Here is a 26,290-nt window from a genome sequence, read left to right as displayed (position 1 = left end):
GCGGAAGCTTTACTGGTTTTAGAAATAGAACATTTTTATAACCCCTCTGTTACATGATCTCTAAGGTCCCTTGCCACTCCAAATTTTAACTGTTTTGTGATTCAGCATAGCTCTGTAAAAAGGGTGCTTTTTTCCTCTTAAACTTTAAGCTTTATGCACTGCTTTTTTTTTTTTTCACATTTTATGGCGTGTCTGCCTGTGTCTGGTCAGATTCAGTAGGATGGGCCAGTGGAGAAGGGAAGATGTGTGCCCCAAGGTGAGGCAGGAAAGGGAGGAAGTCCATCTGCCATGGGACAGGCTCTCTGGAGGGCCCGACAGTGGCCCTACAAAAGTGGTCAGGAAGCCTTGGTGTGGAGCCTCCACTGTGAGGTTATGAGCAATCCTCATAAGCAGCAGGAACAGGTGATGCGTAGACGTTCACATGGACTGGCCAGGCATGGTGGCTCACACCTGTCATCTTAGCATTTTGGGAGGCCGAGGCAGGACAATTGCTTGAGCTCAAGAGTTCAAGACCAGCCTGAGCAATATAGTGATACCTTATCTCAAAAAAAAAAAAAAAAGAAAGAAAAGAAAGAAAGAAAAAGAAAAAGAAAAGAAAAGAAAAAAAAAGTTCACATGGACAAGCAGCCACTAGGAACGTCAGGAGGAAATGAGGCCCTGGACACTGAGAGGGCCACACAAGAAATGTCAGATGGCTGTCTTCAAGAGATGATACTGCGGATGGCTTGCCAAGAGAGGCAGCAGTCCCTGAAAACAGGTTAGATATTAGCCTGTACACAGAAAGTCATGAAGCGAGACTTGGGAACTGAGCTGAAGCCTAATATCTAAGCAGGGGCCTCAGACCACAGTCAGACTGTCCCAGAGGGTGAGTGGTGCTGAGTCTTTTGTCTAAAGCCATGACTGGTAAGGATGGGACAAAGCTGACCCACAAATAACAAGTCACTTTAGATTTTGTTGAGGCCAAGTCACAAGAATAGTAGAAAGCCTGGGAGCCAGGCAGAGCCAAATATTCAGTCTTTTTGTTTTATGGCTTCATTCTTTGTTTGAAATTCTCATAGTACAATGCAGTAGAGGGGCAGGAAAAGCAACGTAGGCTTGTCAGTGAGCCACTCAACTCAAAACCTAGGAGAAAGGTTGATGTGCATTTTCAGTTAAAAGCTCAATGCACCAGCTTTGTGAGGATGTGTGTGCTTATGTATAAGTAGACATATGGGTTGGCTAAATAACCCAAGTCCACTCAATTATTCTTTAGTTTCAGCCATGAATCCATTTGTTAATGTATTTTTATTATGGTCATCTTAAAACAACATGATTCTCTTTTCATAGCAGGAGTGATGAAAGGTGAGGGAGAAAGGCTGTGCATTTTTACACTAGGGAACAATGACGTGGGATCACCATGTGATCTGAAGACAAAGAATGAAATAAAACTTAATGATACCATTGGAAGGGAATCTGTGGCAAAATCCAAAGTTTGGGTAACGAAAAGTAAAGACGTCAGCCAGGCACAGTGGGTCACACCTGTAATCCCAGCACTTTGGGAGGCCAAGGGGGGTGGACCACTTGAGGTCAGGAGTTCAAGACCAGTCTGGTCAACATGGTGAAACCCTGTCTCTACTAAAAGTACAAAAATTATCCAGGCGTGGTGGCGCATGCCTGTAATCGCAGCTACTTGGGAGGTTGGGGCAGGAGAAGTGCTTGAACCCAGGAGATGGAGGTTGCAGTGAGCTGAGATGATGCCACTGCACTCCAGCCTGGGCAACAGAGTGAGACTCCGTCTCAAAAAAAAAAAATGAACAACAACAACAATAAAACAGAAAAGTAAATTAAGAAGTCCTTTTTAAATCTCAGTGAAGGATTCTAACGTTCTTAAATATGGTATCTTCCATGTTACTCACCACAGTGTAAAAGAAAGCTGAGTCTGTCAAGCTTTCCTGTTTTCCTCTCATGCTATTCCTTTCCACGTCTTCAGTCCTCAGTGGGACAAAGCCTTAGTGTCCAACAGTCAAAGACTCTCTGCTGGTTTATTAACCTACAAAGGGGTTCAAAAGTTGATTAAAGTTCTACTTCAGAATACTATGGGATAAGATTAGAAAGATTTTAACTTGAATGTGTCTGTGCCTTTGCTCTCGCTGTGCCCTCCTGAACTGCTCCATCCAGCCCTTTGGGTCCTGAAGGCAGAAGAGGATGTGAGAGCTAGGAGTTAAGTCTCATCCAGAGAGAGCTGCTCTTGAGGGCAGTGCCCAGGAAGGGAGGGACCTGGGACTGCACCAGACTGGTGGTCAATCATCAAGGACTGTGGGGCAGTGCTATGGGAAGGTCATGACCAGGAAGGGAAGCAGAAGGACTTTGCTGAGGGATTCTACCAAATGTTTAATAGAAGCAGAGATTGTAGATCACTGACCAATACAATATTAGAACAGAGCAATGGCTAGAATGAAGTGAGCAGAGAGTAGGTCAAGGTGCCTGTGGGCTGGAGATCCACTGGCCAATGTGTTGTGCTCAGTCAGTTGTGCTTGGCCAAGGGTACAAAGTGCAGAGAAGTCTGAACAGTAAATTATTGGACTGGAATTCTGCCCTTAATATTACCAAACTCTGTTAGTTATAAAAGATGAATGTTTGTGTCTGTTAAGCTCTAAATGGTGAATAGCAGATGTCTTGGAAATCAGGATTTGAAAGTAAAATTTAATATAAAGTATAATTTGGATTCAGATGAGACTGAATACAATAATACATGTGAGAAGTGTAAGCTATGCCAGGTAACTAATTGGAAGTCATGATTTCAATCTACCTCGTGCAAATGAGATTGGGTGAATCAAAGTCAAAAGAAATCAAAGAAACATAAATATAGGCCTCTGCTTTTTCTTCCTTCCCTTTCTTCCTCCTTTGGTTCTTCAAACCTCTTCATGTCGTTTCTAACCTTGTGTGCTCAAAAGTGAGCAGCTCAAAAGTGAACAACCCTAGCACTTAGCAAGTTAGCATTCTGCAATGCCATATTGAAGGGGGTTGTGAAATGTGTCTCTGTGGATGGAAGAGAGAGACTCAATTGCAGATGCTACACACCCAGTGCCCTACAAAGTGGGCCGTAACTTTGCGGGGAGGATGTGGGTGGACCTAAGTGTTGCCATTTCAGCCTCTTGTTCATCAAGCTCCTTTGTTGTTATTGGTGAATTTCTTTCTTTCCTTTTCTCTTAGAGAATACATCTCAAACCAGGGACTCCTTATGCAGATTTTAGTAATCTTAACAAATCCTCCTTACTCTTTTAGCAGCCTTCTTTGTCTTGTTTTCATTAGGATTGGGACCACCATTTTGTTTGCCTGTGTTTTCTCTTAATACCCAGCATGATAGATGTTGGTTACAAAAGGAATTGTAGGGAATTAAAGAACGATGGACACATTATGAGGCCTATGCCTATGCAGTCAGGTCTGTATTAATTCATGGGACTAGAGGAGAGGACAGCAACAAATAGTGGATTACCCAGTATGCCTTTGCTTCCAAAGTGAAGTTGCTGGACTCTCAAATATAGTAGTTCGTGGAAGAAGCAATAATAGAACTCAGATTCTCAAGATGACTGTGCTGTAGAAGAGTAGAGAAGGTGGTTTTCCTAATTTTTTGGAGGCAGTTTTAGAGTCACTCAGCTTTGATCAAAGGTCTTCCAAGCCTTGATGGAAAATTTATTAATAATTGAGACCACGCGAACCAGGCTGGGGTGAAGGAAGCCAGTCCTGGAGTAAAGGCACCATCAAGGGGAAACAGCCAGGCCCTGAATATGGACAGTTCCGGTGATAAACAGTCGTGGGTCTTATTATCTTCAAGGTCAACTTGGATTGATGGATTTTTAAGTTCACCTTTGTTTCCATGTCAGTTTCTCACACCTTCAACCACAATGGTTCAACTACGCTTATGAAGCAGCCCCTGCTATGTTTTAGTTGCTTAGGGTTCAGAAATGAATAAAATGTTATTCTATCCTAAAAAGAACCTGCTTGAACTTCCAAACAGTTAATACTTTTATTTCTTATCAGGTTTGAATGCAAAAGCTTCCTCATTATGTATTAATTCACCAAAGAGATTATACTTTACATTGTCTTCATTTTCACAAAAGTGTACATTGAAGAGTAGGGAGAGGTTTGAAATGATTGTAAGGGAGGATTTGCTTAAGCGCTTGTTTGTGTCCCTGGTGTGTGAATGAACATTAACATAAACACGTGACTACAATAGTTCACATACTACCAGTGTATCTTACCTTCTGCAATATCTGTTCTATAAAAATGATGTTTGAATCAAACCTTTTTGAAGCAAATAATAGCGCACAAGGAAATTTGCTCTTAAAAAACTTATAATGAAATTAGATATTTTGGGTCAATCTGGACTTTGATAAACTGAATTTTCTTGAGGTGTTATTTACAGATCTAATCACATATTTTATTAATGTGTAACTGATAGAGTAGTATACTGAAAGCACACATAAACACAAAAACACTGCATTTGGTACCTTTAACTTCACCTTTAGTTTACAGAACACGTTTACATACATTATTTCATTTATTCCACACAACAATTCTTTGATGTGGGTTTGGCAGGAAATATTGAGCCCTTGTCCTATGAATCACAAAGGCTCCATGAGAGATTGTCCTGTGCCCACAGAACTCACGGATGGCAGAGAAGAGCCCAGCTCAGCCAGAGGAGAGCCCAGCTCAACCAGAGAAGGGCCCAGCTCTCTTGACCCATTTCCAGACTCTTTCATTTCCAGTGAATTCCCAGTTCCCTTTTCCTCATTGTGAACCTCCAAACATAAAGTCTGCACTAGAACATTTGTGTTCCACTGTACCTAATAGAGTCCTCTGGGCCTTAGGAAGTTACTATACTTACGGTAACCTGGTTTTGACATGTCTGTTTCTACCTGGAATGCATTCAAACTTTACACATTTCCTGCTTCTTACTCTATTTAGCAGAAAAATAATTGCCTAACAGTAATATCATTATAGTATAATGTTTAATGTTATAATGTATTGTTTTGTGTGTATCAGGCATGGTGCACTACAAACAATTGTTATTCCCCCTCACAGTATAAATAAATTAAGAACTAGAGAACTTAAATAATTTGTCCAGGATCAAACAACAGTGTCAGGGTGGACATGCAAACCGAGGCTTTCCTGATGCCAGAGCCCTGCCTTATTTAATACTAAATGTTTCATAAATTTTGGAGCTGGTAGGTGGACTATGAGGCTGAGAGGAGTAAAAGAAAATTAGGGAAGTTCTCAGAAGGTGAAAGCATTGGCATTTTTCTCCCAATTGTGCCGTAGACATGCTGGAAAACAACAGAAGAAATCTATCTCATGGAGAAATATATATAAAGAATCCTTTCATACTTACCCCAGGATCTCAGCACCTAGCATGGGAGGCTAAGGAAATACACAGAAATGTCTTTGGGGATTCTTTTCTTGGAATATGAATAAACTCTCACTTCCAAATATATTCATTCTTCTGGAAAATTTCTCCAACCATTGAATGTTTGAGATAAAAAACGAGGGGAGAAATGGGGACCCTAATCAGATTGGAATGAAGCTAATTAGGACTAGGTTTCACTTAGATTCTCTAAAATTGGGAATTCTTTAAAAGAGTGTAATGGTAAGATTGCCTCTGTCTTGTATTAATAATGCTATTTATAGATACTCTCAGTGGGCTGTTACAGCTTGTGGACAAATTAAAAGGTAGAATTTCAGTTCTACTTATAGCAGAAAGATACTCTTTGTTGCATATAATTCAACAGAAAGTGAAGCCATAGCAAATATCATAAAATGTCTGAGCCAGAGGTAGAAAGCTGTCATCTTTCCACTTCTGTGAATTCTGCTGTAAATGTGAATGAGAAGTGTTTTGTTTTGTTTTGTTTTGTTTTCACTTAAAAGCTTCTTGGTGAGTTTCAGGAAAGTACATTTGTACTAACTATTACACAACAATTCGCTGCTAACAAGTTCCCAAACAACAGATTTAAAACATTTGTTATTCTAATGCAAAAGGACAAACATTGGTGATTTGCATTTCCTATTAAATTCTCTTCGAATGTGCATCATAAAAGCAGAAAGAGAAATGCCAGTGTTTTTAGTTATTTAAGTGCTGCATGCCTAGCAGTGTGTCAGCAAAATCAAAACTGGAGATACCACCAGCCTGTTATGGAGAGAGGTGTCTCTGAGTGTCAGATCGCTACATTCTCGAAGGCAGCAGTGGTGGTTCTTTCTCAAACGTGCTTTGAAAATGCATCTTAGCACTGAGCTAAACCACACTGTCAGCAGCCTGAGTTTGGCTTTGGGCTCTCCAGGTTTTGATTTTGTGAAGTGTCAGTGTTTGCACTGGCTCTTTTGTGCGTGTAGTGAAGGTCTCTGATCAGCAGCCCAGAACCTCCTTCACCAGTCTGACCAGAGCAAGCCGGACTCTGGTTTCATCTCCCCAAAGGCCAGGAAAGCATGTCGTTTCTCATTGGCTTGACTTCCCACTTTCAAAAGGAGGCCATGTCCTGCCCCTAGCGATGGAGGGAAAGAGTGCGTTTCTCTCCCCTGCTGCTGAGATCTGCATTCAAGCAGATGTTGAAAGATGAAGTTTCATAGTGGAGAAACGTCTTGATCTTTGTGATATTTGTGTCAGACTTTTAAGAATGTGATACTCTCTAAGAAATTTGCAAACCTAAGTAGAGATTATTTTGTATGGCTTAACATTTCTTTAAACCATATGTCAATAATAAGGATATTTGATTTAACATTTTTCATGTTATTTGATACAGGTGCTGACTGAAAAGGAATGTGTTCTCCTTCATTCTGGTTATAGCAGGGATCCACAAACTATTGTCAACCTAAAAGGAAGAAGCTGAGGCAAAATTAATAAAGCAGGGAGTTTATTTGGGCCAAGGCTGAGGATCCCAACCCAGCAGAATAGATTCAAGTTGCCCTGAATTTACACACTCCAATTAGCAGCAGTTACAAGTGGGTTTTGTTTAGTTTGTTTTTGTTTTTTTGTTTTGTTTTGTTTGAGACGGAGTTTCACCCTGTCACCCAGGCTGGAGTTCGGTGGCACAATCTCAGCTCACTGTAACCTCTGCCTCTTGGGTTCAAGCAATTCTCCTGCCTCAGCCTCCCAAGTAGCTGGGATTTCAGGCGTGCACCACCACGCCCAGCTAATTTTGGTATTTTTAGTAGAGACAGGGTTTCACCATGTTGATCAGGCTGGTCTCAAACTCCCGACCTCCTGATCTGCCCGCCTTGGCCTCCCAAAGTGCTGGGATTACAGGCATGAGCCACCATGCCTGGCCACACGTGGATTTTTAAAGGCAAAGGGGGGACAGGGAGTGGGCTGATACAAAGTTGTTTGTCAGGAATTCTCATTGATTTACATTGAATCACGCTGATTAGTGTTGGCTATCCATTGTTAAGCTGCAGGGTGTGGGTTATAGTGTCTTGTGTGGTGTTATTAGGATACTTTATAGCCACTTGTGGCAATAACAATCAGTTTCAAAAGATGAATACATAGCTCAAAGAGCGGAATAGGATGTGATTGCAGTCTCATTTTAATGCTTCTCTGGGCCTGATAATGAAAAGGGCTTCATTCCTCAGATAAAGGTTTTTTTTTTTTTGTTACTGTATATGGCCCATGAGCCAAATGTGGCCTGCTGCCTGTTTTTATAAATAAATTTTACACAGCCATGCTCATTTGTTTACATGGTGTGGATGGCTGTTTTCCTGCTACAAAGACAGAGTTGAATGCTAACGACAAAGACTGCGTGGGCTGAAAAGCCTGAATTATTGCCAACCCCTAGATTATAGCACAGCATTAGGGCACTGAGCTTCCAGATCTAGCCCATTCCTAGCTTCTGGGGCTGTGGGCAAGTTACTCAACTCTTTTAAGCTTTAGTTTCCTCATTTATGAAATGGAGGATAATGAGGTTTAAAATTTTTAATTAGATAATATATTTAAAACCAGTACTGTCCTTGCCCGCATGCCCTGCAAATATTGTGGACAGGCCCATCAAACCACTTAGCACAGTGCCTACCGCACAGGAAGTGCTCACTAGACACGCAAACATATATTGCAGCTAAATGTTTGTGTTGTTAGCTTCCTTATGCTTGTCTTCTGCCACTTTGTGGCCATTGCTCTGGAGTTGTTGGGATCCCAGTGTTCTCCTTCCCCTTTGTTCTACCAGATGGCAGCTCTGTTCCTACAAGGAGGCAGAAAATGACTATTGAGATGTCATGAATGCAGTAGTTGGGAAGAAAGTAGGTGATGTTGTGTGATGAGGTGTTAGGAACACAGGAATCAGCTGGTCAAGTCAAATCCTCTACAGCAGGACAGCACATGGAGTGTGGGCTCTGGAATCTGAAATTCCTGGGTTTATATCTTTGCTCTGTTATTTATTAGATGGATGACCTAGAAACCAAAAAGTATCTGAGCCATGTCTGAATCAGTTTAGAGATTTATTTTGCCAAGATTAAGGACATGCCTGGAAGAAAGGAACACAGAATCACAGAAACAATCTGCAGTCTGTGCCTTTCTCCAAAGGTGATTTTGAGGTCTTTAGTATTTAAAGGGGAAAAGTAGGCTGGAGGGAAAAATGGGAATGTATGGTCACATGACTGAATCCACATGTTGCCAGAGAAAAGGAGCAGATAGGGGAATAGTCAAATATGTATTCTTCTCACGCTCAGTAAATCGGGGCTTTACATAAGATAAGGTGAACCTAGAGTAGCTATCTGTGGAGATAGTTAAGCTTTTATCTGTAGCTAACTGCTTAGGAACAGAAGGAAAGGTAGTTTCTTGCATGATTCAGCTTTCAACTTAATTTTTTTTCCTTTTGGCATAGTCAATTGGGGTCCCAAGAATTTTTTTTCCTTTTGGCATAGTCAATTGGGGTCCCAAGACCTAACACTATCACAAGACTTAATTCAGCAAGTCAGTTAACCTTTTTCTTTAGTGTTTTCATGGGTTAAACATTAATAAAGGTGATCCATAGGGTTTTAAGGATGTATCGGCGTGGCACATTCCCTGTGCATTTCAGGTCTTTCTCAAATGTCAGTGAGGACTTCTGTGACCACCCACATGAAAATCTCAACCTCTTCCTCTTCTTAATTTTTATCCATGTAATGTATCACCATGTACATGCCCTGTGTGTTTTTTACTCATTCGCTAGCTGTTGTTCCCTACCCATGTGAATTCCACAAGGATAAGGATTACTGTCTCTTTGGTTCACTGATATGTTCTTGATATCTGTAATAGTGTTAGGTACATAGTTAAATGTTTGTTAAATATCTGATGAATGAAAGAACGGAGCCCAGAGGGCTTCATAGGATGCCCTGCTCAGTTTGGGTTGGGAGCAGCTGGGGCTAGAGGAACAGGGGGCAAAGCAGGCTTATGAACTTGAGCAGCCACTGTGGTCAGGCACAGCAAATGACACCAGCAAGGTCAGTTGTACAATATAAATAAGATTTATAGAAAAAGCTCCATACCTTTAAGGTTGAACCAGGGAGTTGTGGAAGTGAGAAGAGGTTTTTGGTTTGGGTTTTTGTTTTTACATTAGAGACTCTGTTCTGACAAGTGCAAGGCTCTTGCAAGATACCTGTGGCAATCAAATCCAGTGCTTGTGGTGGGGGTTTGGAGAACATGGGTCTCCTTAGCTCAAATCATCCTCCTCAGTGGGGAGTAGGATGGTGACTCTCTTTGGCCAAACCATGAACCCTAAACTTTATGGAGCTGGACTAACCAACTTATAGGACTTGAAGAAAGAAATGAGAGCTCCAACTTCATTCCCAGGGTCTCCCAAGTCAGAAACCTCAAATGCCTCTCTCTTGTTTTTCTGCTCTTGATACAGAGAACAGAAGATGGAGAAAAAAGTTTTTTAAGGAGGTGTGTTTAGGAATGAGAATATTTAGTTGTTTCTATTAGCTAGAGCAACCTGATTCACTAGACTGGAGTTGTCTGATTGTGGAGCCTGTGTTGTATTATAAATATATGTTTAGTGCCTAGGATATTGCCAGCCACATAAGAGAAAGAATGAATAAAAAAGAGAACAAGTATATGGGCTGTATTTACTTGGGGCTGTATTAATACTTCTGATAGTAATAGTCTCCAATATAGGATGGCTTTACACAAACTTGCTTCTTTCTTAAGATATTCTGTAATAATTTGTAGTTATCAATTTTGGGAAGAATCACACCTGTAATCCCAGTACTTCGGGAGGCCAAGGCAGGTGGATCTTTAGCCCAAGAGTTCAAGACCAGCCTGGGCAACATAGCGAAACCCCATCTCTACAGAAAAATACAAAAATTAGTTGGGTGTAGTGGTGAACACCTAAGTCCCAACTACTGGGGAGGCTGAGGAGGGAGAATCAGTTGAGCCCAGGAGGTTGAGGCTGCAGTGAGCCATGATCATACCACTACAGTCCAGCCTGGGAGACAAAGTGAGTCCCTGTCTAAAAAAAATAAAAAAATAAAGAAGAAAAGAGAGAGGAATAAAATAGATGCAATAAAAAATGATAAAGGGGATATCACCACCGATCTCACAGAAATACAAACTACCATCAGAGAATACTATAAATACCTCTACGCAAGTAAATTAGAAAATCTAGAAGAAATGGATAAATTCCTCGACACTTACACCCTCCCAAGACTAAACCAGGAAGCAGTTGAATCTCTGAATAGACCAATAACAGGCTCTGAAATTGAGGCAATAATTAATAGCTTACCAACCAAAAAAAGTCCAGGGCCAGATGGATTCACAGCCGAATTCTACCAGAGTTACAAGGAGGAGCTGGTACCATTCCTTCTGAAACTATTCCAATCAATAGAAAAAGAGGGAATCCTCCCTAACTCATTTTATGAGGCCAGCATCATCCTGATACCAAAGCCTGGCAGAGACACAACAAAAAAAGAGAATTTTAGACCACTATCCTTGATGAACATTGATGCAAAAATCCTCAATAAAATACTGGCAAACCGAATCCAGCAGCACATCAAAAAGCTTATCCACCATGATCAAGTGGGCTTCATTCCTGGGATGCAAGGCTGGTTTAACATTCGAAAATCAATAAACGTAATCCAGCATGTAAACAGAACCAAAGACAAAAACCACATGATTATCTCAATAGATGCAGAAAAGGCCTTTGACAAAATTCAACAACCCTTCATGCTAAAAACTCTCAATAAATTAGGTATTGATGGGATGTATCTCAAAATAATAAGAGCTATCTATGACAAACCCACGCCAATATCATACTGAATGGACAAAAACTGGAAGCATTCCCTTTGAAAACTGGCACAAGACAGGGATGTCCTCTCTCACCACTCCTATTCAACATAGTGTTGGAAGTTCTGGCCAGGGCAATCAGGCAGGAGAAGGAAATAAAAGATATTCAATTAGGAAAAGAGGAAGTCAAATTGTCCCTGTTTGCAGATGACATGATTGTATATCTAGAAAACCCCATCATCTCAGCCCAAAATCTCCTTAAGCTGATAAGCAACTTCAGCAAAGTCTCAGGATACAAAATCAATGTACAAAAATCACAAGCATTCTTATACACCAATAACAGACAGAGAGCCAAATCATGAGTGAACTCCCATTCACAATTGCTTCAAAGAGAATAAAATACCTAGGAATCCAACTTACAAGGGATGTGAAGGACCTCATCAAGGAGAACTACAAACCACTGCTCAATGAAATAAAAGAGGATACAAAGAAATGGAAGAACATTCCATGCTCATGGGTAGGAAGAATCAATATCGTGAAAATGGCCATACTGCCCAAGGTAATTTATAGATTCAATGCCATCCCCATCAAGCTACCAATGACTTTCTTCACAGAATTGGAAAAAACTCCTTTAAAGTTCATATGGAACCAAAAAAGAGCCCACATTTCCAAGTCAGTCCTAAGCCAAAAGAACAAAGCTGGAGGCATCACGCTACCTGACTTCAAACTATACTACAAGCCTACAGTAACCAAAACAGCATTGTACTGGTACCAAAACAGAGATATAGACCAATGGAACAGAATGGAGCCTTCAGAAATAATGCTGCATATCTACAACTATCTGATCTTTGACAAACCTGACAAAAAGCAATGGGGAAAGGATTCCCTATTTAATAAATGGTGCTGGGAAAACTGGCTAGCCATATGTAGAAAGCTGAAACTGGATCCCTTCCTTACATCTTATACAAAAAATTAATTCAAGATGGATTAAAGACTTACATGTTAGACCTAAAACTATAAAAACCCTAGAAGAAAACCTAGGCAATACCATTCAGGACATAGGCACGGGCAAGGACTTCATGTCTAAAACACCAAAAGCCATGGCAACAAAAGCCAAAATTGACAAATGGGTTCTAATTAAACTAAAGAGCTTCTGCACAGCAAAAGAAACTACCATCAGAGTAAACAGGCAACCTACAGAATGGGAGAAAATTTTTGCAACCTACTCATCTGACAAAGGGCTAATATCCAGAATCTGCAATGAACTCAAACAAATTTACAAGAAAAAAACAAACAACCCCATCAAAAAGTGGGCAAAGGATATGAACAGGTACTTCTCAAAAGAAGACATTTATGCAGCCAAAAAACACATGAAAAAATGCTCATCATCACTGGCCATCAGAGAAATGCAAATCAAAACCACAATGAGATACCATCTCACACCAGTTAGAATGGCGATCATTAAAAAGTCAGGAAACAACAGGTGCTGGAGAGGATGTGGAGAAATAGGAACACTTTTACACTGTTGGTGGGACTGTAAACTAGTTCAACCATTGTGGAAGTCAGCGTGGCGATTCCTCAGGGATCTAGAATTAGAAATACCATTTGACCCAGCCATCCCATTACTGGGTATATACCCAAAGGATTATAAATCATGCTGCTATAAAGACACATGCACACGTATGTTTATTGTGGCACTATTCACAATAGCAAAGACTTGGAACCAACCCAAATGTCCAACAATGATAGACTGGATTAAGAAAATGTGGCACATATACACCATGGAATACTATGCAGCCATAAAAAATGATGAGTTCATGTCCTTTGTAGGGACATGGATGAAGCTGGAAACCATCATTCTCAGCAAACTATCAGAAGGACAAAAAACCAAACACCGCATGTTCTCACTCATAGCTGGGAACTGAACAATGACAACATGGACACAGGAAGGGGAACATCACACACCGGGACTGTTGTGGGGTCGGGGAAGCGGGGCGGGCTAGCATTAGGAGATATACCTAATGCTAAATGACGAGTTAATGGGTGCAGCACACCAACGTGACACATGTATACATATGTAACAAACCTGCACATTGTGCACATGTACCCTAAAACTTAAAGTATAATAATAATAAAATTTAAAAAAAAGAATAAAAGAAGAAGTAAGAAAAAATAAAATAAAATAAAAATAGATTTCAACTAAAATACATACAGCATTAATGGGTACAAACTACAAGTTTATATTCTTCTGTGTCCAAGTGGCAGGCAGAAAGTATCTCTGTTGGTGCATAGATGATGTGAGGGACCATGTAGCACCAAGCCAAAGGCTTTTAGAGACGTAATGCTGATATACAAAGTGCTACTCAGATAACATGTTAACCCTGCACCTACCGGTACAGCTAGGCATATCAATGCATCTTGTCTGTGATGAGCTCCAAGTTGTGAGGCTCAGGAGTCGGCCTGTGGGTAGATTTTCCAAAGTGTAAGGGCTTCAGCTGGCCCTGGAAACAGAGAACAGTCCTCCTTGGTGACCAGCATCCTTCCAGGACCTGACACAGAGCTTTCAGACACTCTCCCTACAAAGCTGTGGTGTGACCTGCTGCAGCATAAACTCCGAATTTAGGCGCATAGTGCCAATAGAGTCATACAATGACAGTGACATGAGGGAGCTTGGGTCAGAGGAGCCATTCAGGACCCAAGAGCTTATATGTGGGACTTCTCATGATGCCTCAGCTGCTGAAATCCAGGGCACTTTAAGCCTACAAGATGACTCTCTCATTCCCTACACTGAAGAAATAGCAAGAAATATTTCTACAAGAAATAGCAAACCTGCTAGTGCAGCACTTTAGAGAACTAACATGTTAATATTGTCCAAGGCAGGGGAGTTTCTATTTGTTTCTCTAGCACAGGACAAGCTTCATTTGAAAGTTAGTTTTGTAGGAGATAATTCTGGGGGGAAGCTATTGCACCCCCAAAGTAATCCCGTTCCTTCCACCCTGTTTTCCAGCATGGGCTACTGCATCCTTTTTGTGCATGGACTGAGCAAGCTCTGCACTTGGCTGAATCGATGTGGGGCCACCACCCTGATTGTGTCCACTGTGTTGCTGCTGTTGCTTTTCTCTTGGAAAACTGTGAAACAGAATGAAATTTGGCTGTCAAGAGAGTCCCTATTCAGGTATGACTAGACAGATAAAAATAAATATCTTCCTGTTTATTTCTTTGCTTACAAATTGTTTCCAAACAAATGAGGTAACATGGGCCTGGCAGTATTTACTAAGGAAAATTATCTTTAATAAAGTTTTAAATGGAAGATGTAATTTTATGTGGGGTTTTAACTTTAGATTTTTAAAATGATATATAAAACTTAACATGAGCTCTTTCTAAGTGAATTTATGAAAATAAGGCTCCTGGGAAAGTTTTTGAGTCTGTGAATTCAGATGGAAACAGTTTTAATGATGAGCAGGGCTGTAAAATCAGCTATAAACAAAATGAAACCAAGAAGTGCATGTGAAAAGTGAGCACACAGCCAGAGGGAAGAGAAATGCAGTATCCTTCTTTAGAATATTCCAGCATGATACGCTGTGATCTGTGACCTAGTTGCTTTATTTTGAACATTAATTTTGAACATTCTTTGAGACTGCCATTCATGATGCTGTGTTTCTGGGGCTTAGTCAGCCTCACTAAATGCCGCAGCCCTGGCGACCTTCGCCTGGCTCTCTTGGCACTGCCACACCTGACACCCAAACAATATTTGCCCAGTCTTCCAGGAATCCCCAGTCTGGGCCTCTTCCAAGCTTCTGTCCTCACTTATGACCTGATTGGTCAATTTAGTCACCATGATTTTTTTCTTGGTTTCCTGATTAGCTGGTACCCAACACTTATTCTTTGGGGGCAAACAATTGAAGCAGAGCTAATATCACTTAAGGAAAGGGGAAACTGTTGGAAGAGGCTAGGAAGGCATACAGAATTAAGGGAAGTGAAGAACCCGGCACACCCAAGACAGGAAACAGGCATCTGGAAAATCCGTCTTGAGCACCCTCTCAGAAACAAACAGGTAAACTTAACACCAGGTTTTTGGATGTACACATCAAAGTCTTAGGAAAAGAAAGCTTTTTGGCTGAACTTAAGATTAGTCACATGCCTGCCCCTTGTCCCTAGCAAGGCACTGAGAGGACTGATCTGACCAAGAAGCCTCCTCTGAGTTCCATGGAGGGAGCTAGGGCAGGCAGAGCCCCTTGGGGTTCCACCCAGACTTCTCAAAGTGAGGCAAGAGGGAAGTTCCCAGCAGGAAATCCAAGCACTGTAAGAAGGGGGAATAATCTCTGGGCTGCCAAATATGAATGAATGAGTGAAAGAACAAATAAGACAAAGGTTCACTGCACTCTTCTACTATTTTAAAATAATGTGTTTGATTTTACTTGGCAATTTGACATTTTTTAAAATATAAAACAAAAAGTCAGTCTGGCATGCATGTCCTATTACTTTATTTATGTATTATTACGTATTACATATCATTGTCATGATCGTCATTATGATCATTTCAGCGGGTACTGTAGGGAGCTCAATGTAGAGTTTTTTGTGTGGATTGTTTTTAATGCATCTTTTTTTTTCCACACAGATCTGCAAAATCACTCTTAGATTCTGTTAAGTCCCTGTCATACCCCTTTCTATTAAACACGATTCTCACAGACCACAACAGACTCATTCCTTCCTTCTGCCTCATGCTAACTAAGGTCATTCGGTAAACACAGGAGTATTTAAGTTCAGTAATATAACTTCCTCCGAGTCTCTGTTGGCATAGTTTTTTCTTCCTTTCTCTTTCACTAGTCAGAGCTTTTACGAGCATCTTTAGAAACAGTTCTGCCCTGTGCTAAACCTTTTGCCTGAATAAAGGTACTAACAGTGGTTGTATTTTCTAATGATGTTGACTGCTTAATCAGAGCAACTTTGGGAATGGATTTTGGCAGACTTAGTACTCAAACCCTTTACAGCTGATGCCAAAGATGTAAAAAAAAAAGAAAAAAAAATAGCTGATTGGCCTTGCATCCAGAAGCTTCTATTGTTTTAGATGGAAGTATGTAGTATCTTCACATCAATTGATTTCTAAAACACAACCATTCCACATTCGTGCTTAAAGAGATTTTGCAACTAAAGAGGCCTTTGGTGGTCCAATCAAATTTTGTGTAATGTGTAAATCAAAGCTATTGATATTTTCTAGAAATCTTTGCCTATTATCATTTATCTATGTCCTGAGAAAACTTTTAAGAATCTGAGACTTTAAAAGACTATTAAGACTGTTCTTTTTCCTTCAAGGCCAGAACAGATGTTTTTATGAATTCATTTGTGCTAAGTAATGTTCAGGTCAGTCAAACAAACATTTACTGAGAATCTATGAGGCACATTAAGGTTAGTGGTTGGGTGCAGGGTATGGAGTTAGACTTTCTGGCTCTACTCCAAGTTCTGCCATTGAATAGCTGTGTGATCTTAGGCAAGTTACTTATCCACTCTGTGCTTTAATTTCTTCATTTTACAATGTAAAATACTCGTGTTTATCTCCTGAGTATAGTGTAAGAATAAAATAGTATGTGAGAGATGCACAGGACAGTTTCTGGCATTTGAGAAACGCTGTGTAAGGTTTTCAGACTATTACTGTGCAGTGTGTTCTAGGATGAGAGAGAGAGAATGTGCATAGAGGAGCTGGGAATCTGCATGGGAAGCAGACACATGAACATATTTCATTATAATATAGTGTTAAACCCAGAACACTATATAAGTACAGGTAGGTGGGTAGGTGACTAAGACCAACTCAGGCTGTCAAGGATCATGCTCTTGTAGGTCTGAGCTGAGTATTAAAAGAGGAGAAAAACCTAAATTAGCCGTAATGGCCCAAAACAGGAGCCAGCTGAGTGGAGTAAGAAAAATGTACAATAATTCTAGAGATGGTGATGCCCTTGGCAGAGACTCCATCTTCCCCTCTGTTCCAAACAATAAACCATAGACCATTCCTAAAACATATAGCCTCACTGAGGCCTCTCTAATTATGTGGGATGATTTTGCCTGACCATTCCATGAGCAATCTTACAGAGTATCTTAAGATAGAACTTTGTGTTGGAGAAAGTACAAATTTTGGTCAAGCTCCAGCCTTTCCAGCTGAGGCCTCCTTTTACACAAAAGATCCCACTGTGTGATGTATTTTTAGGAGATACAGATGCAGGGTTCCTACACAATTTTATTTTATTTTATTTATTCATTTATTTATTTTTGAGACAAAGTCTCACTCTGTCACCCAGGCTGGGGTGTAGTGGCGTGATCATGGCTCACTGCAGCCTTGACCTCTCAGACTCAAGCGATCTTCTCACCTCAGCCTACCGAGGAGATGGGACTATAGGTGTGTGCCACCACACCCGGTTAATATTTTTTTATGTTTTGTAGAGAACAGTTATTACTGTGTTGCCCAGGCTGGTCTCTACTCCTTGGCCTCCCCAAGTGCTGGGATTACAGACATGGGCCAATGTGCCTGGCCAAAACTTTTTCTATCAGCAAGAACCTTACACACAAAAAGCACAAGAACCCAGCACTTGTGTATTATCAGAGGTGTGGACAGGGTAAATTGTCTAAGCTGAAATAACCTTTACAGAAGCCAAGATTTGAACCCAAATCTGGTATAAAAATCAAAAGGTGCATAAACTTTGCCATTCCTATATTTTACATTGTGTTTTAACCTAAGCTAGCTCAAGTATAAGCAGAGAGAGAGATTTATGATCATAGCTGCAAGGCATATTTTCTTTAATTCTTACAGTAAGAAGCTGTTTTATGTGCTGAACTGGTAGGTGGATCACCGCATAGCTCTGGTTGGGCCTAGTGACAGCCCAGAACCCTACATTTGTTTGGAGTAAATAAATACCATAATAGCATAATTTGATTAGATTAAACCCTCTTCCCTCTCCTAATCTTCAAAATACCTAGAAAGGGACAAACATATTTCCTTTCGCATCCAGCTCAGGATCTCTCTAAATCCCATTCCTGAACTGTTTAAGTGATCCACAGACCAGCAATTAACATTTATGGCCTGGATCATCTTCCTACTCTGTAGGAAAAACAGTAGTTCTCTTTCCCCTTCTCTGAATTGCTGAGGCAGAGAATTTAGAATACCTCCCAGGGAAAAGAATATAAACCAGGTACTGACAGATTCTTTTGTAAAGGTCAGATAGCAAATATTTTAAGCTCTGCGGGTCATACAGTCTCTTTTGCAACTATGTAACTCTGATGTTGTCTTGGGGAAAAGACGAAAGACAAAATGTAAACACATGGACACATTAGTGACCCATAGGCTGTAGTTTTGCTTGCCAATCATATATACATTGTGATAGTGAAATTCTAATGTTACTTTGGTCTTATGGTACTGATTTGGTTAAGCATCAAATGTTGATCAACTTCAGGATTGATTCTGACCATTTACTGGCCGTGGCTGAAACATCTGCTCAACGATTTATTGGGTCTGTAACCTTACAAAAAGGTCTTAATCTCTCTGAGCTTCAGTTTCCTCATCTCTAATATGGGAGGCAGCGTAATACTACCTATTTGATAAGTTACAGCAAGGACTAAAGGAAGTGATCCATGGAAACTGGTGCTTAGCCCAGCACTTGATTTAAAGTAAGCATTCCATAAGTACTATCCATCCTGTGTGTGGCATTATAAAATCTCAGGTCAAGGCAGGGGTCAAAATTGAGGAGAATCACAAATTCTTCTTCCTTTCCTTTTTGCTAACCTCTGACTGAACACTACAAGTATTTTTTTCATGTTTGTTCTGCAATTAGGAATTTGGGGATGGTCCTCCTGACCTATTGTCCAATGATGCCAACAAAACAAATTGATGTTCTAAAACCTTGGAGATACACCTGATTAAAGTAGCTTTTTTGTTATTTATCAAGTCTTCCACAATAAAAGGTGTGAGGGAGATACGTGAAATGCGTGGATTTAAAATCCTGAGTTGAAAGGGAGATGTTTATTTATAATCACTGTTGTAATTATTAACAGGGTTTCGCGTTCGGCCATGTAATTTATGAATATTGTATTTCTCTATGGAATAAATATGGGTAAAGCTGGATGTTTCCATGATAATAACTGGAAGTATGAAATTGGAGCATCAAAAAAGCAAACAGGGAGACTATTCCTGGAGGGAAGAGTGACCTGGCCAGTTAAGTTCCAGGGAAAGTGTTGCCTTTGGCTTGTTATTTTCCTTTTTTTCACAAACTGTTCATTGTGAAATGAGAGCCTAGAAAAACATAGCAGAAAAATATCACAGAGAGAACATAAAGGTCAAAACCAACGATGGGAAAAAGCAGTGTGTTCTTAGGATTTTAGTGACTCCACCCACTTCTGCTTGCCTGTTAGGAACATTATTACTTCCTCTTACCATTATGAAACAATGCCCTGATCTCAGCAGAGACCATGTTTCCACAGACCCAATTGTCTATTCCTTGGGTGGGACATAAATTAGAATTACTGTGCTAATCACACAGAGAAAAGGATCAATTTCAATAAATATGCCAGTTGTATTCATTTCTATAATCACAGTTGCCTTCAAAACTTACTGCTACCATGCACTATTTAGTTCTAGATAGAAAAAGTCAGAAATTTTCCTTAATAGAAATTTGATTATTAAAGCCATTACTAATACGCTTACCTGGATTTTGCCAATATGACTAAATTTATGTTGGATACTATCATTTGAAAAATTATATTAAAATCCTAGCAACTTGTCATACATTTTAGTTGCTTTTTAACATTCAAATAAGGATATTTTATAAACCATAAAGGTATCATAAATGAAAGATAGTGTTAGTATTTCAGCACCCACCCCCGAAAAGAACTATCCACAATCTATACAGGAAATGCCTTTGGCTGTTGTAGAAATGCAATACTGTCACTTATGACTGGACCACTGATCCTCTCTAAGGCTTGGCTCTCTCTTGTGTAAAATGAGAGGAAGACAAAGGGAATGAAATGGTCACCAGGGATCCTTTGGGTCCTCCTATTCTGTGTTGTGCGAGGATTCTGATTCCGTGTACCATAGGAGTGACAAGTTCTCATTAGGCCATAAGGAGGATGTTTCCTTCTTGGCTACTGGATGCCTCTTAAAAGCAGAGGAAGGGACCCCATTCTAGTACATGAGAAGCATGAGTATTTTCCTTTGTCTGCAGCAAGTTTTGTTCAGAGAACAGGGCAAATGTAGATCTCATCTCATCTCAGCCCCCAAGGAAGCCAGTTCAGAGATGTGGAACCCCGTCATCAAAGTTTAAGTGAGTGAACACAGAAGAGCTCTTTGTAAATGGTAAAGCACAAGATAGATGCTGATCTCTGTTTTTAGCAAAACCTGGCTCCCCTAACAGGTTAATACATTGCCCTTCACTAGATATGCTAAAAAAGAAAAAAAATTAGCATCTGTACATTTAAAAACATACAACCTTCAGGCTATCTTATCAACCTCAGCTGGTGCCAACATTGGGCATTGCTGGTTCTCCTTAGGTATTCTCCATGCAGCCAGAATTTCATCAACACCATTTATGATATTATTTATCCTTCTTTCAGACAGAAAATAAAATAGAGAAAAAGAAAAAGGAAGCAACCCTCTTTATTCCATGTTCTTTCTTTTTCCTTTTTTTAATTGTATAAAATTAAGGTGTACAACGTGTTTTGATATGCATATCCACAGTGAAATGATTACTGCAGGTAAGCAATTTAACATATCCATTATCTTCCATAGTTACCTGTTTTTTCTTTTTTGTATTAATAGTAAGGGCACCTAAAATCTACTCTCTTTGCAGACTTAAAATATACAATACCATATTCTTAGCTATAGCCCTCTTTTTGTAGATGGGATCTCTAGACTTAGTCATCTACATAACTGCAAATTTGTACCCTTGGACCTATATCTCTTCATTTCCTCTCCTTGCCACACCTACTAACCATTATTCTATTCTCGTTTTCTCTGTGTTCAATTTCATTTATTAAGATTTCACATATAGGTAAGATCATGCAGTATTTTTCTTTCTGCGTCTGGCTTTACTTAGCATAGTGTCCCTCAGGTTCACTCATATTGTTGCAAATGGCAGTATCTCTTTTTTAAGGCTGAATAATGTTTCATTGTGTGTATATACCACAAATGATTTATCCATTCATCTGTCCATAGACACTCAGGTTGTTTCCATATCTTGGCTATTGTGAATAAGGGGAAAGCTCCTTGACATTGGCCTTGGCTATGAATTTTTTGATACAACACTAAGAGCGCAGGCAGCAAAATCACAAATACACAAATGGGACTGCATCAAACTAAAAAACTTCCACACAGCAAAGGAAACAAGCAAAAAAGTGAAAAGACAGCCTGTGGATTGGGATGAAATATTTGCAAACTGTATATCCAATAAGGGGTTAATATCCAAAATATGTAAGCAACCCATACAACTAAATTGCAAAACAGACCCCACAACTAATCTGATTCAAAATGAGCAAAGGACCTGAATGATATCTTTGAAAAGAAGACAAGCAAATGGTCAACAGGTGTATGAAAAGGTGCTCAGCATCACTAATCATCAGGGAAACGCAGATCAAAACCATGATGACGTATTACCCCACAACTGTTACGACGGCTATTGTCATAAACACAAGAGATAACAAGTGTTGGAGTGGATGTGGAGAAAAGGGAACCTTTGTACATTGTTGGTGGGAATGTATGTTGGTCCAGCCATTATGCAAAACAATATGGAGGGTCCTCAAGAAATTAAAAATAGAATTACCATGTGATCCAGCAATCCGTCCTCGGGTATTTACCCAAAGGAAATGAAATCAGTATCTCAAAGAGATATCTGCACTCCCATGTTCACTGTGGTGCGTTTTAAATCTCTGAAGCAGCTGTAAGTGTGGGGTCTGCTGCTTTCAGATGGTCTGTTTCTTTTGGCTGTTCTCTGGCTTCACAGATGCCCATCAGATCCCTCCTCTGGAGAGGTCCTCAAGCTCCCAGCCAGTGGATTTTAGTGGGGCAGTCTTTGCTCAGTTCTCGGGGGCTGTTATTTTAAAAAGCTCAACAAAAGTTGAGGTAGGGGTGGCGCCCATATAAAACGAGGAAGTATGCCTTAACATACTTCCCCAACGGCTTTAACACATTGTATGGAATTCTCCTCTTAATCTGACCTTGAAATTAAAAACTAAATGTAAATATGTAATCTGAGAGAGTTAGTGCATTAAAATACAACTGCCCAGAAACTAGGTTCTCATCCTGAAGTCCTTCCTCTCTCTCATCAGTTGTCTGCCTGTCTCATTTAATCCAAATAAGTTGCAGGAATTTTCTTCCAAATAGCCTTCAAATCCATCTGTCTATATTTTATCATTCCCCCTGCCACCTTCCTTCAGGTGAGGGAACAGAAACTCTAGAACCAAACTCCTCGGGTCCAAGTCCCATCCCTACCACTTGCTAGCTGTGTGATCTTGTGGACATTGTTTCTGAAGCAGCTACAAAGGATAAAACAATCCCTTCCTGCTCCCACCCCTCCTCGTATCATCTTCAAATTGTTGGTATCACCCCAGGCAGATGGGCCCCAGGGTAGACAAGCATCAGGCAGAAAGTAAACCCTGTAGGCACAGCCACTCAGTGGTATTTGGACAGCCTTATTCTTGCTGCTGGCCCTCCCTCATGATTAAGAGCTTGGGCTTTGGTGATTGATAAGGACTGAATGTTTGCATCCCTTCAAATTCATATATTGAAGCTGTAACCTCCAGTTTCACTGTATCTGGATATAGGGCCTGTGAGGAAGTGATGAGGGTTAAATGTGGTCACAAGGGTGAGGCCCTAATCCAGTAGGGGTGGTGCCCGTATAAAACAAGGAAGAGGCACCAGAGCTTTCTCTGTCTGTGTGCACACTCCGAGGAATGCCATATGGGTCATAGCTAGAATGTGACCATCTGCGAGGCAGGAAGAGAACCCTCATCAGAAACCGAATCAGCCATAACTTTGATCTTGAACTTCTAGCCTCCAGAACTGTGAGAAATAAATGTCAATAAATGTCTGTTGTTTAAGCCACCCAGTCTATGGGTTTTGTGTTTTGTTATGGCAGCCTGAGATGACCAGTACAGTGACCATTTAAACAAGGTTTTTAATGTCTCTGAGAAAAGCCTCATTTTCTTATCTGTAGAATAATTATACCTGCATTTGAAAAACAAAAAAAACTGGCCCAGGCTTAGTATAGGGAAAGGTTAATTTCCAACAAAACTTATTGGTAGGGAGGCCAGTCTATAGTGATCCTTTTTGTAATGATTTATTTTGGTAGACAATCTCAATTTTAAAAAAAGAAGAAGAAGGAAATCTATAAGTGAATGAATGAATGGAGGAAGGAAAAAACTGAATCGACATGAACATGCAGGGCTATTCTCCAAAGAATCAGCCATCACCTTGTCCTGCCACCTGCCACCTCTGCTTCCTGGATGTCTCCCGAATCCTTCTGTTCCTCCCTATGGCCCCTGCTGAAATTCTGACTATTATCTTTCTCTCATCTTCTTTCTGCTCCACTCCCATCCCCTCCCTTTCCACTTCCTCCCTTTCCCTCTCCTCTCCTCTCTGAGGTTCCTCAGTAGTCCCCCAGGAGGTCTCCATGCACTGCAGCCAGAAGACTGCTCAGTCCTTCTCTTTTGCTACCCTGTCCCTCACTTTTCTGTTGGAGACTTTGCACTGATTCTCTGCTGCTCTTCAGATAACCCCCTGAGAAGTCTCCAGTGTGACTCACAGGGCCCGTTAGACTCTCTCCACGCTAAGACTTAGCATGATCCAGCGACTCTGAATTTCTTCCAGTCCCTCAAAAGCCCCATGCTCTGTTTTCTTGGGGTCCTCTGCATAGGACCTCCTGCTGCCTCTTCCTCCAGAGGCTAATTTCATTTCTTCTTATCCTTAAAGTCTAAGCTTCACCTTCACTGCCTTCTGGAAGCCTCCTCTTGATCCCATTCTGGGATAAGCATGCTGTGCTTCCTTGATACCCTGCTCACCTATTGTTACATGTCATCTTGTAATCCCCTCCTCCTACTTCTTCACCCTCATAAACTCCCTGAGGGCTGGGACTCTAACCATATTGTATCCCCAGCACCTGGCACAGTGTGTGGTACTGAAGGGACACTATGTAGATGATAAACAACTGTACCATTTACTTCAGCTTAGAGAAATGCTTGCAAACTGATTTCATCAAACGATCTCACTTCTGGAATTGATCCTTTTTAATGATTCTGCTTGGGCCTGCATTAACTTTTGCCTTTTTTCCACCACTTTCATTCATACAGATTATGTGAGGGCCTGGCATGTCATAATCAACTCAAATAAGCCTGACTTTATCACCCTCCATTGTTGAGTAACTAAGGGCCTTTCTGAGTCCCCATGTATACTCCTAGATCTGGAATGTGTTTTCCTTTCAACACAGCACCCCCGAGTACTGTGCAATACCAAGGAGGAAGCGATGACCTTGTAGATGCGAGGGGAGCGAGAGAGAGTCTTTCACACTAACCAGTTGCATGGGTTTCCACATTGAAGGAAACAAGAATGGCAAGAAAGAATAAAGAGAAAGAAGACAGAGAATAGAGGACACTGCATGTTACATCTCATGTTTTGTAGAGCAGGTTGTGGTTATGAGCTATTCTCATTTTATGAAAACCATTAAATCTTTTTTTTCCTCTGGTTCTTTATTGTTCACTCAGAGATCACTTAGGGTATTTCATCAAGTCTCCATGAAAAAGAAGGCTGCTCCAGAGACAGATGCAAAAGGAAGAAACGGCTGGCCCAATGCTGTAATTCTCCCTAGAAGGAAAAGCGTTTGTAATTAGCCTCGGCAGGGCCTATCTGTGCAGCAGCCCCAGTGTGGGTGCATCTGCTCCCTGCACCATAAATTAGGAAAGCCAGATTGGCTTGTTAATTGCAAGGTTGTGTGTGTCTCATGTTGTACAATGTGCTCTCAGATATACCATTGGACCCTCCTATGCTCCCAAAAAAAAGCCTCAGGAAGAGCGACAGAGCCTTACCCAGACTCCAGCTGTGTCTCTGGCACAACAAAGGTCCTATGTTTATATGCTAAGGGCATTTTGTTCATACACAGTTAGCATGCTTGTTCAGCTATACATAACACTATACTGCCTCCATTGTTTTCTATAGAAAGCAACGTTTAGTAAATTATATAATTTGTAAATTTTGGAAGCCTTGTAGGCTACAATGCCTTGTTTTAGAATACAACGGACATTTCAAATACAGGTTCATGAAACTGAGTAAAACATAAAGGAATCTGACAATAATATTCTTTGTCAAATAATTCTTTTTAAAAATTTATTCATTTTAGGTCTGGAGTTCAAACTCTGCCCCACAATGCCAAGGTTCACTACAACTATGCCAATTTCCTGAAGGACCAAGGTCGGAACAAGGAAGCGATCTACCACTACAGAACAGCTCTCAAGTAAGCGCCACACAGGGAGGGTGTTGGCCTTGGTGCTTTAAAGACCGTTGTTTATTTCACTTGGCCCTCCCAGTATATGGAGAGGGAGTTTGTTTGTTTCTCTTGACAGTAAACTGATCCTTGGAGGTGGGGTAGCTCTTGGACTCTGAGTCTTTTGGCTCAGTGTTCAAGTCTGCTATTAATGCAATAACTCTACCTTGCGTGTAAGTCTTGCGTGTTTTCTTGTGAAACTTTTCATTGCTATACATTACACGATGAACTGACAGTTCAATATATACGTGCAAACAAGAGTTGGTTGTCAAAAATATATTGGTAAGTTCTCATGATATTTATTGCAATGAATTTTAATGGTATGCATATAGAAAGCCCTAGACATCCCATGCCTGAAACTATTTCCATGAAGACATTTGAGTATAGAAATTAAATGCCCTGAAAGTTGTATTAAATAGAAAAAAAATGATAAGACAATTGATTACCATGTTGGGGATACGTTAATTGTGTGTGTGTGTGTGTGTGTGTGTATGTGTGTGTGTATTAACATTCTCCTTATAGTCTTCCAATGGAAGAGAGAATACTATACATATCCTTAGAT

General features: G+C 40.5%; 1 protein-coding gene across 10 annotated transcripts in view; it reads left to right on the top strand.

Annotated features, from left to right (window-relative positions):
• TMTC1 (transmembrane O-mannosyltransferase targeting cadherins 1) overlaps positions 1-26,290 on the top strand; it is a 283,947-nt gene that overhangs the window by 186,957 nt on the left and 70,700 nt on the right. For 9 of the 10 annotated variants that reach the window (NM_175861.3, XM_047429634.1, XM_017020005.2 and 6 more), the window contains 2 exons: positions 14,229-14,396; positions 25,585-25,698. In NM_175861.3, coding sequence (NP_787057.2) covers positions 14,229-14,396; positions 25,585-25,698 — 282 coding nt within the window. The remainder of the gene's footprint in view (positions 1-14,228; positions 14,397-25,584; positions 25,699-26,290) is intronic. The other variant, XM_017020003.2, reaches the window with a different exon arrangement.

The sequence above is a fragment of the Homo sapiens genome, chromosome 12, assembly GCF_000001405.40.
Source record: "Homo sapiens chromosome 12, GRCh38.p14 Primary Assembly".
NCBI lineage: Eukaryota > Metazoa > Chordata > Mammalia > Primates > Hominidae > Homo > Homo sapiens.
The sequence above is the reverse complement of the archived record's forward strand: the minus strand, read 5'-3'. Positions and strand labels throughout refer to the sequence as shown.